Genomic DNA, 13,379 nt, shown 5'->3' with positions numbered 1-13,379 from the left:
ACACATACAGTCACTACAAATATATTTTTTACGGTATTATGTAGCTTTCAGTATTGAGTGAGAGACAGATGATAACATGTAAACAAGAAATACAGACTATGAAAATAACCATGAATAAAATAAATAGGGAACAAATAGAATTTCTTGGAGGCCTACTTTAGATAGGGTGGTCCGTGATGAATTCACTAAGGAAACAATATTTAAACTACTACATGAATGGTGAGGTTAAGCTGAACAAGCCAAGAAGAGATGAAATATCACTCCAAGCAGAGAATATAGCATGTGCAAAATCCCACGGTTTAAACAAAAGTATATCCTGTCCTTGCAACTGGAAGGAGACTAGGGTGTATGTAGTTAGTGACCAAGTTAGTGGATGAATATGATATGAAGTCACGGAATCTTGGAATCTTGTCAACTCAAGAATGATGAGATTTATACATGTATAAAGGAGAGCTTTTTTTTTTTTTTTTAGAAAGGGTTGCAGCCTGACTGGTCACCATACTGACAGGATAAGAAGCATAGCTTCTGGCCAAAAGCCAGAAGCAGCCACTTTGAAGGCCAGAAGAATAAAACAGGGATTTATTTATGCATAAAGGGGTGGCCAAATATACATATTCAATAAGCTATAGAAGGACTTATGAATATTTATGAAAGGAGAGGCATGCCCATGTGCAATGGAGCTTCATGCCTCTCCATGGGTCCAATGTTAAAAAACATGGCAGTGTTAGCATGATCTAAGGTGGAGTTTTCAGCCCTCTGACATCAAATGGTGAAGCAGAGAACACCAGAACTCTCACTGCACATCCTCCATAGACTGGCCGGAACCACCCCAGGGTTGGTGGCCCCTTATCAGGAAGGAATGCTGGTCTGTTGTGTTGAAACTGCAAAAGGGAGAGGCAGCAGTCAGGTGGTTGGTTGAAATCAGCAGTGGAGTCTTTTTGAAAGGGCTCGCTTCTGGTTAGCCCTTAGAAATGAAGGTTGAATTGCAGTTAGCAAGAGACAGGTTATAACACGGCTTGTCTAACTTCCCATCCGGCCATGGCCTGGAACTTAGCTTCCAAGCTGAGGTTCCCTTGGCCAAGAGGGAGTCCATTCTGTCAACTGGGGGCTTAGAATTTTACTTTCATTTTTCAACTTGAATAAAAGATCATTCCTTCAGAGCCTCATCAGAGGTTTGATTGGATTTAAAATGGACTGGAAAGTTTTAAATTCTACAATGTTTAGTAGATGTAATGTAACTTACTTTAAATATAATGCCTCAGCATGCACCATGGGTTTTGAGCAAGCAGGAGACAAAGTGGCAAGAAGAACAATTTGGAGACTCTACAGGTTGGGTTCAACAGAAAGCAGACTGTCATACAGTTTGTGAGAGAGTGCTCTTAGAATCAACATCTGTGGAGGTAAAGGAGAAGATAACAGAATTGTGCAAAAAGAGAATCTGTGATTCAGTCTCAGTGGAGTCTTTAGACAATTCACAGAAAACACTGAAGTTAGGAAATCCACTCAATACCATCTTAAGTTGGAGCAAGAAATTTTGTTTTTTCTACCCCTGTTGGATCAGTCATGGGATATGGGCTGTTTCAGGAAAGGGTGTGGTCTTGGGAGAAGTGACCTTCTTTAGTGGAGGTAATTCACAAATGGTGCTAACCCGTGGACTGTGTGCCAAGAGCACTCTTGGAAACTGGGATAATGAGTCATTAAGCCTCAATGAGAGAGACCTAGGGGATTCACCACAACCCACCCTTGTGCTACTTGAATCCAGTTCTGGTGGGAGAAACCATTCAGGATTCCAATAGACCTCTCTTCCTGGGAAAGTTTGTAGGAGAAGGGGTGCTAGCTGAACAGCTGCCGGGCTATAACCCAACTCAACGCCACAACTTGTATTTGCCTCCCTGCTGAATAATCTATTTACTATCTCTCTTACCCTCAGTTGTTAGCTTTGCACGTCATGGTAGTTTGCCTAGTGTTGTGAAAAAGATCCTTATTCCTGAAGGGTCACATACTCTTCCCAGAATGAATTTGTGGGACTCATCTCTTTAACACCATAATTTGTCAAAAAGGACTCAGAGATACTCAAGTGAATCACCTTGGTATAAACATATTTCTCCCTGTTCCCATTGTGTAACAGCAGCCCTACATTTTCCTGGTGGTCAGGGTCAATAATTCTTGCTGGCACCTTGAAAGATATATCCCAAAGTATCCAAATAGCCTCTAATAGTGAATCAGAACTCTTGCTATGTGTACTGGCAGAAGCAGTATCATTTTGGGAGCAAGGACATCTAAAATACTAAGCCTAGGATTGGTGGGAAGCACAAATTCCCCAAACACATCTCTGGAAATGATGGTAAGTGGGGACACTTCTGTTCTTACCTCATGGTTTCCAGACCTGTGTATGCCTGGCATTGGTGGATGGGACACACACAACAACTTGTAAATGTCATTGATTTAAAACATACTCTGAAGTCTGGAAAATCCTACAAAATTGTCATCCCTTTTGAGGTGACCCTTCAGCTGAACCCTTCATAAACCTTTCCATCATTCCATCAGGCTAGCAACTTAAGCCTATGTGGAATGAGCCAAATGGCCACTCTCTCATCTCCTTTACTATTAAGTAGATTCCTTGGTCTGACAAAATGATACATGACCGACTGTGCCAATTGATGATACTCTATACAGTCATCAGATGGTGGTATTAGCTGAGGTCTTTAAATCTGGAAAGGCAAACCCATACCCAAAATATGTGCCAAAATAAATTGTTACCCCCTTTCAAAATATAAAAGATCCAATATAGTCAATTTGGCATAAAGTGACTAATTATGATCACTAGTGATCTCTTAGTGGAGTGGTGCAGTATTAAGGATCCAGCATTGATCTCTACTGTTGGAAGATGGGATATTTGTCAGCAGCAATAGATAAACCAGACTTGGTAAATGAAAGCCTACACTGTTGAGGCCACATGTAACTTTCAACCCCACCACCATGGCTATCTTATCAAACTACTCATTGTGCCAGCACTGCATATCTGGTGGAGGTGGGTGTGCAGGACATTTCTTGTAGTAACGTGAATAATGGGCCCCAAAATATGTCCATTTATAATTTTGGAACCTATAAATGTTTTCTTATTTGGAAAAAGAGTCTTTGCAGATGTGTTTAAGGTAAGAGTCTTGAGATGAGGAGATATTCTTTGATTATCCAGATGAGCACTAAATAACATCAAATGTATTCTTATAAAAGGGAGGCAAAGGAAGATTTGCAACATACAGAGGAAAAGTCAATGTGAAGACAGAGGTAGAGATTAGACTGAAGCAGCCACAGACCAAGAAATGCAAGGAGCCACCAGGAGATGGAATAGGCAATGAACAAATTCTTTTCCAGAGAAAGCACAGCCCTGCTAATATATTAATTTTGGCCATTGATAGTTATTTCAGACTTCTGGCATCCAGAACTGTGAGAGAATGTGTTTCTGTTGTTTCAAGCTACCCGGCTTGTAATTTGTTACAGACACAAGAAACTAATGTAAATTATGGAGAGCAGATATAAGAGAGTCTGGCTGTTGTCAACTGGCTGAGTCATTTTTTTTTCTATAACGCAGTTGAATGCGTCTTCTGTAGTGGATGCGTTCTAGTGGAGCATAGCATATAATATAATTATGTCTCTCTTTATGTTCATTCATATATGCCATCCCCATCCCTCTGCATCAGACTTCTTCATTCCTTCTCTTCCAATTTTTCTCCTTCCTGGCTTCTAACAAATCTTCCAAGCCATTCACCCTTATTCATGAGTCTATATATATTCTAACTCTGGACTATTCAGGTCACACAGAGAGGATGACCAGGTGCCCTACGCAAATGTCTAACCCTTGGGAAGATTTTCCCTTGCCTTTCTAGGCTGCCCCAGGACTACAGGGCAACTGTTATCCATTGTTGGCTTATACCTACATCGTGAGTTGACATCTGTCTATTGGTCATAGGCATATCCTATGTGGCCATAGCTATGAATTTAGGGAACTATTCAGAGAATGTAGAATGGGGAAGAGGAATCTAGGCTCTGTGCTTTTATAGCTCACTTGTGCCTTATCATCCTGCTTGGGCCGGTTCTCAGAGGTACTGCTTCTACCTTACTGTGATTTGCAGATAGAATGAATTTGCTCTGGAATCCTAAGGGTCTACATTTTCATTCCCCCAATGGGTTTGTCCTTTAAGTTCCTTTTATATCTTATGCCAATACTGACACTTTTTATACTATAAGGCCGGACAGAAGAAAAAGTCCAAGGTGCAGGGTCATGATACTGACCTACTGAAGACTTTTACCTGCACCAGACCCAACTATAATAAAATGTATCCATCTTTATTATCACCTAGTATATGATTTTAAGTAGTCTCCCTAAGTATGAAATAAGCTATTCCAGAGACTTAAGAGGCTTTAAAACATTGAGTTTTTTTCTTTATGAAGGAAGAAGCAAGATGCAACTAATGTTTTAATAATGCAGTAGAATCCTCAGCGTTCATAGGGTTTATATCTTGCTCATTGGATAGCATATGCCTTGTCAAAGCCTCCACTGTACTAACCATTCCTTGCTTTCTGGTCTGATTGGCATTATATAATTACTATACTTGTTCAATGCATTGTTTTATAGGATGCATAGTTAAATGTGGACCCTTTGGACTTCATCATAATGAAGGTTAAGATAGTTAACTTAATCAATATGTCAATGGGCACTGTTCATTTCAAGTGAATCCAAACTTTCTGATCCATTTTCCTGAAAAAGATAAAATCACATTTTTCCAAATCATTGGCTGCATACCACGTACCTAAAGTCATATTAATTTGCCCTACGAAAAATACTACATCTTTACCTACAGTTGCAGTTGTGGCTACTACTCCCATGCAGTGTGTTAGTCCATTGTCATTTTCTAATGGTTTTGTAGAGACCAGGCCGGTGACTTATACGGAGATATGATAGGAGAAGATACACCTCTCCCTCATCTATGAGGGTTTTAAAGATGGCTCTAGTTTCTACTCCTGCTCCATAGAATATATTGTTTCAGCTCCTCAGTCCTGATTGAGAATAGGGGCAGTTTTAGGGGCATCCGCTTGGGTTTCCCCACTATGGTATCTCTCACCATCCCTCCAAGAAAACAATGTAGTGGATGTACCAATGACAAACTATATGTATATTCTAACGATACCCTTAGGAACCAGAGACATGCCCACTGAGTAGGTGTATGGACCCAATAGACCCTCTAGATGCACATCTTAGCCAGAACTCTGCTTTCAGTTCTTCTTAGTGCCCTGATCAACTGGGTGAAACATGCTGCTGCCCCACATATCCAGGTAGCAATGTCATTTTGAGCCCTATGTTCAATAATCCTTAAAATACTAGGTAATTCCCTTTCCCTAGTCTATAAGTACCTAAAAAAATAGCAGCAGATCCCTTAGTGGAAGGAATGCTGGAATTACTAACATGTACCTTTCCTGCAGGGTACTTCCTCACGTATACCTGGCCTCTTTTCAAGTTAGTCCCATATTCAAAAACTGGCTCAGCTATAGACACTAGGCAAAGATTTGCATATATATATATATATACATACACACACACACACACACAACAATAATGGCTATCATCTATGTTGCTCCTAGGGGCATCATGTTCTATTAACCAGGTTTGTGACTCTGTATGAGTTAGTCATCCTTTCTGGATGCTAACAACTGTCTTGCTACTCATTATACTAATTAAGTGGGGCCTTTTCTGCTTAGGGATCCTGTCCTATCTTATCTCTTGGTATCACTGGACCCAGTTCTGCAATGGGGAACTATCCTAGCCTACAGAGGAGAAATAATGCTTGTGATGCTTGTGACCCTTTTGCTTTGGTAAGTCAAACAGGTTTCAAGCCCCTGTAAGAGCCTTTTATTTTTACTCAAAATGGAAATCTTGCTGATTAATATTCAATTATGTCTCTGGAACATCTGCACACATACATGCACATATACACATACAAGTACCACCCCTCCTCCCTTGCACATACTTTTTCGAAATATTCCATTGATTTATTTTAAGCCCAGTAGAAAGTGGTCACTATAAATTTTAATAACTGTCATTTAAATATATGACATTAAATATATGTCATTTAAATATATGTCATTTAAATCTATAATATAGTCATAATATCAGAAATTAGAAAATATATAGAAATCCAATATAAGAGACAAATGGGTGGATAGATAGATGATAGATATAGTTTTGCAATGCTAAGTATGAAGACAATAATAATAAAAAGCATGGAGATGGATTGGAACTATATAGAGAAGCCTGAACTTTAAGTGACAGGAGCCACTGAAAGGTTTTAAGCAGGAAGGAGACACATTCCATTTGTACTTTAGAATAAAGTGGAATGGGGTGAGGGAGTGAAAGGTATGTAAATGAGAGATGGTAAAGTTTTGGACCACTGCTCCCACTCGGAAATTTATTCTTCATTGATAAGTGGGGCATGACTTACGAAAATATTCAAAGCTTTGAAAAGGTTTCAGCCACATTTGGACTCCATTATAGAACTTAGATAACCAGAGGTGGGCTGGCAGCTGGTGTGTATAGGGAGGAGACTACTGGTACTGCTTCATTTAACAAGGTTTTAGTGATCATTAAAAGGTAGGTGTGGACAAAGCACATCTGCAAAGCTAATTGCACACATTGAGAACTTCAGGGGGATCATTTTAGCTGCACTTATCCTCACTTGAAAGTTGCTGTCTGCTAAATGGACACAGTTTAAGCCATCACTCCCCATAGAGGCATGGGGACTGGCTCATGAAAATTGAGCAGGCTAATCTAGGAAATAACTGCAAATTAATAAATAAATCTTGATATTATGTAGATTGATATACTTATTTCAGACTCTTGAGAAAATGCAAGAATTTTGGGGAGGGTGATTTTTAAAGAACTGTTTCAGCTGCTTGATTTAATGGTCTATTTTTTGAGCTTAAAAGAAGAACAACTTCAGAGACCCATTTCCCTTTCAAGAGAAGGATTAAATAATCTTAAAGTAGTTGATGTGCAGTTTATGTTTGCATTTTTTATCTAATCAGCCAAACAAATATAATTAATTCAGACAGTTGTCTCTATGGCTTTGGCTCCTGGTAGGAGCTGTATCATTACAAATGCAAATATATTCCTAAAATAATGAAAATGTCATTATCTCTCCGTATTCATTTAAGTGGCCACAGAGAAAACTGAAATACCATTTATTATGGAAGTGACTTTTGTAAACTATGCAGAGAACATTAGCTACTTTTCCTGAGCAGGACGTAAGTCTGGCTGTGAATTTCTTTAGTGTCACCGTGTCAATAATAGGGTATGCACATTAGGGGTATATTGTAATGAAATAGGCACTGGACCAAGCATTTTCTCTGGACTGGAGATTTTATGCTACTTCTGCCTCTGTGTCCTGTTGGCATATTTCTTAACACCTCCGAGGTTTTATTCCTTAGTAGACAAATGGACACTAAATCTATCTTCTCCTCAAAAGAATGTTGTGAGGATCACGTGAAACACATAACAGTATTCTCATTTAAAGTGTGATTGTTGCTAGTTACATGTCAGATTGTGCATATGTGTGCTTTCTTTGTGATTTTTCATTTTAGTATTCTTCCAATGCGCACAAGCTAATTTTTTGCTGCTCTCAATGCAAAATTAAGAATAACTTTTTACAGTTCTTTCATTATGTTTCTAGGCTATATCTAATTTCCCTCTTTAGAATTTTCTTCCAGGTTTGTTGCTGCTTTTGTTTTTCCCCATGTATTTGGATGTTGATTGCTTCTAGGGAACATCCCCTCTGCTTACCAGCACAATTAAGCCTTCCCTGACACTATGGTCGGTAATTTGCCTATGACCATAAAGCCATAAAGCCACTGCAGATCATCTGTCTTCTTCCTTCAAGGTCAAATGGCAATCTATACAAACTGTCACTGCCTGCACAATTCCAGTCATACCAAGCTGAAATTTGTCTCACGCCTTCGCTGACATTGTTCCATGTTTTCACTGTTGGAAGCCTATGGTTTACCTTATCCTAAATGATCTTTCTGCAGCATTTGACACAGCTCACTAGCTCCTACTTGTAGAAAACAACAGATCTGAAATCTTTGTCATAAATATTGTTGTAAACACTGTTTGTTTTAAATATGCAATAAGTAATTTGGGATTCTAGGTAGAATTCAACATTAATGGTCGTTGTTCTTTTTTCTCTTAAAGCTTAGAACATAATAATGCTGAGGAATTTCTGTTATTGTATTTTCATTTTGTTTCATTTCTGTTGTTATATTTCAGTTAGAACATAGAAGAGGGCTTGAGACGGAGTCTTGCTCTGTCGCCAGGCTGGAGTGCACTGGCGCGATCTTGACTCACTGCAACCTCCACCTCCTTGGTTCAAGTGATTCTCCTGCCTCAGTTTCCCGAGTAGCTAGCACTACAGACACACGCCACCATGTCCAGCTAATTTTTGTATTTTTAGTAGAGACAGGGTTTCAGCATGTTGGCCAGGATGGTCTCTATCTCTGGACCTTGTGATCTGCCCACCTCAGCCTCCCAAAGTGCTGAGATTACAGGTGTGAGCCACCACACCCACTAGAGCAACTTTTTTTATGTGCAAAATTAGATAAAGAGTCCTAAAACTTATTTTTCATGTTTGACATGAAATATTAAGAGAGAAAGACCTATATAAGTTATGACTGTAAAACCGACTCTGATTTAATATTAAGGAACATGGAAAAGAGCTGAGAGGCAGTGTAATGTAGGTCTTAATAAAATATACTTTAGAATCAGAGAAAACCCTATTTGATTTCCTATTTCTCTACTTTCTAGCACTGAATCCTTGGGTTAGTTGCATAATCATTTTAGGCTTAATTCTGTTTTCAATCAAATGGAAATAATAATTACTATTATGGATTAACATGAAAACTAAACAGAAAATGCTTATACAATCTTTAAGACAACTCAGTAGTAATAGTGAAAATGCTAAAAATAATTAAATTATTACTTAAAAAAATAAAACAGTAGTAAATATTCAAACTCAAACAAGCCCTCACAAGTCAATTATAATGTGAAAGATATCAAAAAAGATCTGATCATAATGGGCACTATTTCCCTAGACAAACTTTTAAATATTTCAACTTTTTTTAAAGAAATATGTTCTATCAGATATTTCTTTCACCCCCATATCAGCAGTACATTTCAGATACTTTTTAATAAACAAAATAGAAACTTGATATTTCATATAAATATACATGTCACTATTCTGGTATTCTCATTATTAAGTGTAGGTTTAATCTTCCTTTAGAAATCAATTTGTCCTATATAACATTGTCCTATATAATAGAAAGTCAAATAATTGTGTTTTGAGGTATCTTATTTCTATCTGGTTCTGCTATATGTAACACAGTTCAAGGGGCCAGATGATCTGAGTGGCAGTATCAGCAGATTAGATAGGAGAAACAAAAAGCTGAGAGACCAGTTAAACGGCTGTCTTGGAAGATCCTTTAATAGGCAAAGAGGTCCATGATACCAATAACAGCCATTGTGATCAAAAGTGTGGGATACGTTTGAAACCCTAGTGAGGTCGACTTAAAATAATTTAGTCACCTATTTTTTTATCTGGGGTTGGAACAAGATGAGCATTTCGGTTTGGGTCACAGGGTGCATGGTGAAATAGAAGAGGATATATAAGACCTCAGCTAGAAAAAGAAACTTGATTTAGAACGATTAGATTATGTATGCTGTATATTTGTATATATGTATGTATAATTATTAGATTGTGTATGCTATACATAATCTACCTATATATATACACATATATATATACATTTATACACTGTATATTCATGCTTTGATTTAAGACTTTGCCTTAATTTAGAAACAGATTGTTAAGATACAATTGATCAGCTCTGAATTTTTCCTCTGATTAGACCTTAAATTTCATGAAGTAGGAAGCAGAACTTCTCAATAATATTTTTATCAAAATATCCCTACAGTGGAAGAGAGCAAATTAATGTATTGAAGGAAGAGTTTCCTGTCAGAGTAAATTAGCTCACAGCAAAAATAAATATTCTAACATATCTTTTATCTTGAAGTATGTAACTTTCATTTTCCACCATAACATACAATTATATTTATGTAGTGTTAGAATTATTTAAGGCCTCAACTATTATTTGAGTAAAATTAACGTATCAGAAATAAATGCCATATTTTCAAAATCTTGACCATAAGACAGAAACATTTTGAGTAATACTAATTCATAGAATGGGTTAGCAATTTGTTGATTTCTTAGGTAATTTCACTTAATGATATGCAGGTATTTTGAAAAATAATGCAAATTAAATTCACTGCACATCCACTAATATAACCTAATTCTGATGAAATGATTATTTATTTCTTCATATACCCTTTTAGCCTTTGCCTGACTAATTTCAATGACAGTGTTCTTACAATTTGAAATTTTGAATTTGAATTTTTTTATGTAACATTGCATAATAACTTCCTTTATTTCTTTGTTGCTACCCTTATATTGAATTGTGTTCATATGTATTTTTCAATCATTTGCTTCATGTTGAACCTTTAAATTGTCTTTGATATTTGTCATCCATAAGCAAAACTGGGATATAAAATTAATCACAGAATTATAAGGCTAAATGTAGATGACATCTTTATGAGTCCGATATGTATTGAAACACGTCGAGCTCTCTCCAGCAAAGCCCTAAACAGTGCTTTGCTGGTTTAAAAGCAGTGTTTTTCATGGTTGAAAAACAAAAATATAAAACATGGAAGAATTTTTGCAATACTCATGATAATGAGCGACAGTAAGGATTTAGTTTGTCCCAGACATGCAGCAGCCAAGCAGGTTGTGTGGGTGGGCTAGAGTTATCACTACTAAGCATGCCATATAAACAGTATTCTAAAAAATGAATGGCTACTCATGAGCACCACTCACATATAGTTTGCAGTGGCTTGGTTAGTGTGTGCTTTTCCTTGTATATGTGGAAATGACATATATTAACAAAACAACTATATCTGGACTATAATTATCTTGACTATAACTATAGCAAAACAACTATATCTTTCTACTAGTGATGCATATTATTGAGGCATGTTATGCTAGAATTCAGAAGACAATAGAAGGAATTTTTTTAAAAAGCTACTACGTACTGAGTGTTAACTCACGGCCAGTGAATCTTACATACATGAACTTATTAGGGAGAAAATTATCATCATTTTTCAATTATAACAATGATGCATTACCCAAGGTCATACAGTGAGTATTATATTAAGAAAAAGAGAATTGGAAAACAGGTTCAAGAACAAAATCTATGACTTATCAAATGCGTCCATAAACAGAGCATTGATGAGATAAAATTGTTAAAATACACTACTTATGAGAATATTTGAGATACCTTAACGGAAGCTTTTAGAGTTTACTAGAATATGTGAAGAACTAATTAGTGCAAAGTCAAAGAGTACTCAGTTAAGAAAGTAAGCTTGATCCCATTACTATGTCAACAGGGTTAAACTTGAAGTACTCTCCTGAGAAGCAAGCTTACAATCTCATTAGTACTTTGGTATATGCATATGTTTGCTTGTGGGGAGGCTAGAGGCAGATTTGGAAGAGGTGGTGCATAATTAGGCTCATATTACCCAAATTACTGTTTCTGGGACACTCTTCTTGATGAGCTTTTTTTTTTTTTTCACTCTACTTCTGTATTTGTATTTTTTCATCTGGGCATTTAGGCAAACTGAGCCTACTTTGATATTTTGCTCAAACACTGGCATGTGAAGTGAATATTTTACTTCTTAGAACACAGCATCCTCGAGAAATACATAAATATTCATCTGGCAGGATGACAAACTAGTATGGATTACTGCCTCCTTCGCTTCCCATGGCAATACCAGTTTAGATATTCTTTTGAAGCAATAAATTTATATATTTATTTCACAACTTGATACAGAATTTAAGAAATGGATTAAGGATATAGAGAGAAGCTCACTTTCAATGTGTTCATATGTGTGTATGTGTGTGTATAGTGGAAAGTTGCCTAGAGGAAAAGATAGCAGCCTTTATTACATGATTCAGAAAGAAAACAGCAGCTCTAGTTATATTAGAATATCTGGTATTAATACCATAGCAGTTATGGAGCTCAGCTAAGGAAGGCACTTACTAACTACAGATTAAGGAAAGCATTTCACGTTTTATCTATAGACCCTTCAAGCCTCAGAACATGAATAGAAAATTAACTAAGAAAAAACCTGAGAAAGTGGCTTTTGAAACATGGTTATGGTCGTAGCTTTTTTGAAGTTAACGATCTTTCAGAAGAAGGCAAAGCAAATGTTAATTGGTTGAAATTTGGGCTGAGCTCTTGCATCAAGCTCAAAAGAAGAGATTGATAACATTATAGCAAGATAGAGAATAACTCCAAGGAACCATAAACAATTAAGGAAAAGAGAGAAGTATATGAAGACTTCACAAATATAAAACATTAGCTAGGAATTTATATTACAGTGAATACATGATTTACATGGACATAATTTTTGAAATTACTTAAAGAACATAAAAGAAAACAAAGATACAGAGAGATATACCATGTTCATTAATGGTTCAACTTAAAATAAGGTTTTAATTAACTCAAAGTTAATTATAAATTTAATGCAATTCCAATTAAGAGAGCTATCACAACTTTTGAGAAAACTTGCATACATAGATTTTAAATTTTATATAGAAGTAAACATTCACACGTAAGTACGGCAAACTTAAATAAGTAAAAGTATTTGGAGGTATTTGCAATGCTAAGTATCTTTCATCTAGCCCTCCAGATGGATGTTCTTCATTTCCATCTTTGTATGTCTTTGAATGCTGAACCCTGTGGGCCACATCTACTAGGTTCCCTGTCTGTCTGTGTTCTTCAACTTTGTTCATGGAACACCAATAGGTACTGTCTTCCAGCTCTTTCTCTACTGAAGATAAAAGATCCTACATTTACAGCTCTAGAAAAAGAATAGAACTAAATAAAACCTGCCAATGGTCCTATATTAGGTGTATATAAATGTGTTACAGCATTTGTCTCATCTTGTTATGATTTTCTGTCTTTTCTGCTACAATGTTCTCCTTAAGGGCACTGTTATCTTTATCAGTTAGTATACAAAAACATATCAATCAATTAAAACATCTTTCAGGCTGGCAAGAACATGACCTATTTAGCCAACTGTAACAAATACTTTATATTCAGAATTATTATATCACTATAGAAAACATTTGTAGGTTTAAATCTAAATAAAGTTTACTATTTAAACATGAAGCCGGCAGTTGGGAAAAAAAAAAAAAAGCTTTTTTTTCTTACATAATAGC

The sequence above is a fragment of the Homo sapiens genome, chromosome 16 (assembly GCF_000001405.40).
Source record: "Homo sapiens chromosome 16, GRCh38.p14 Primary Assembly".
Lineage (NCBI taxonomy): Eukaryota > Metazoa > Chordata > Mammalia > Primates > Hominidae > Homo > Homo sapiens.
The sequence above is the reverse complement of the archived record's forward strand: the minus strand, read 5'-3'. Positions refer to the sequence as shown.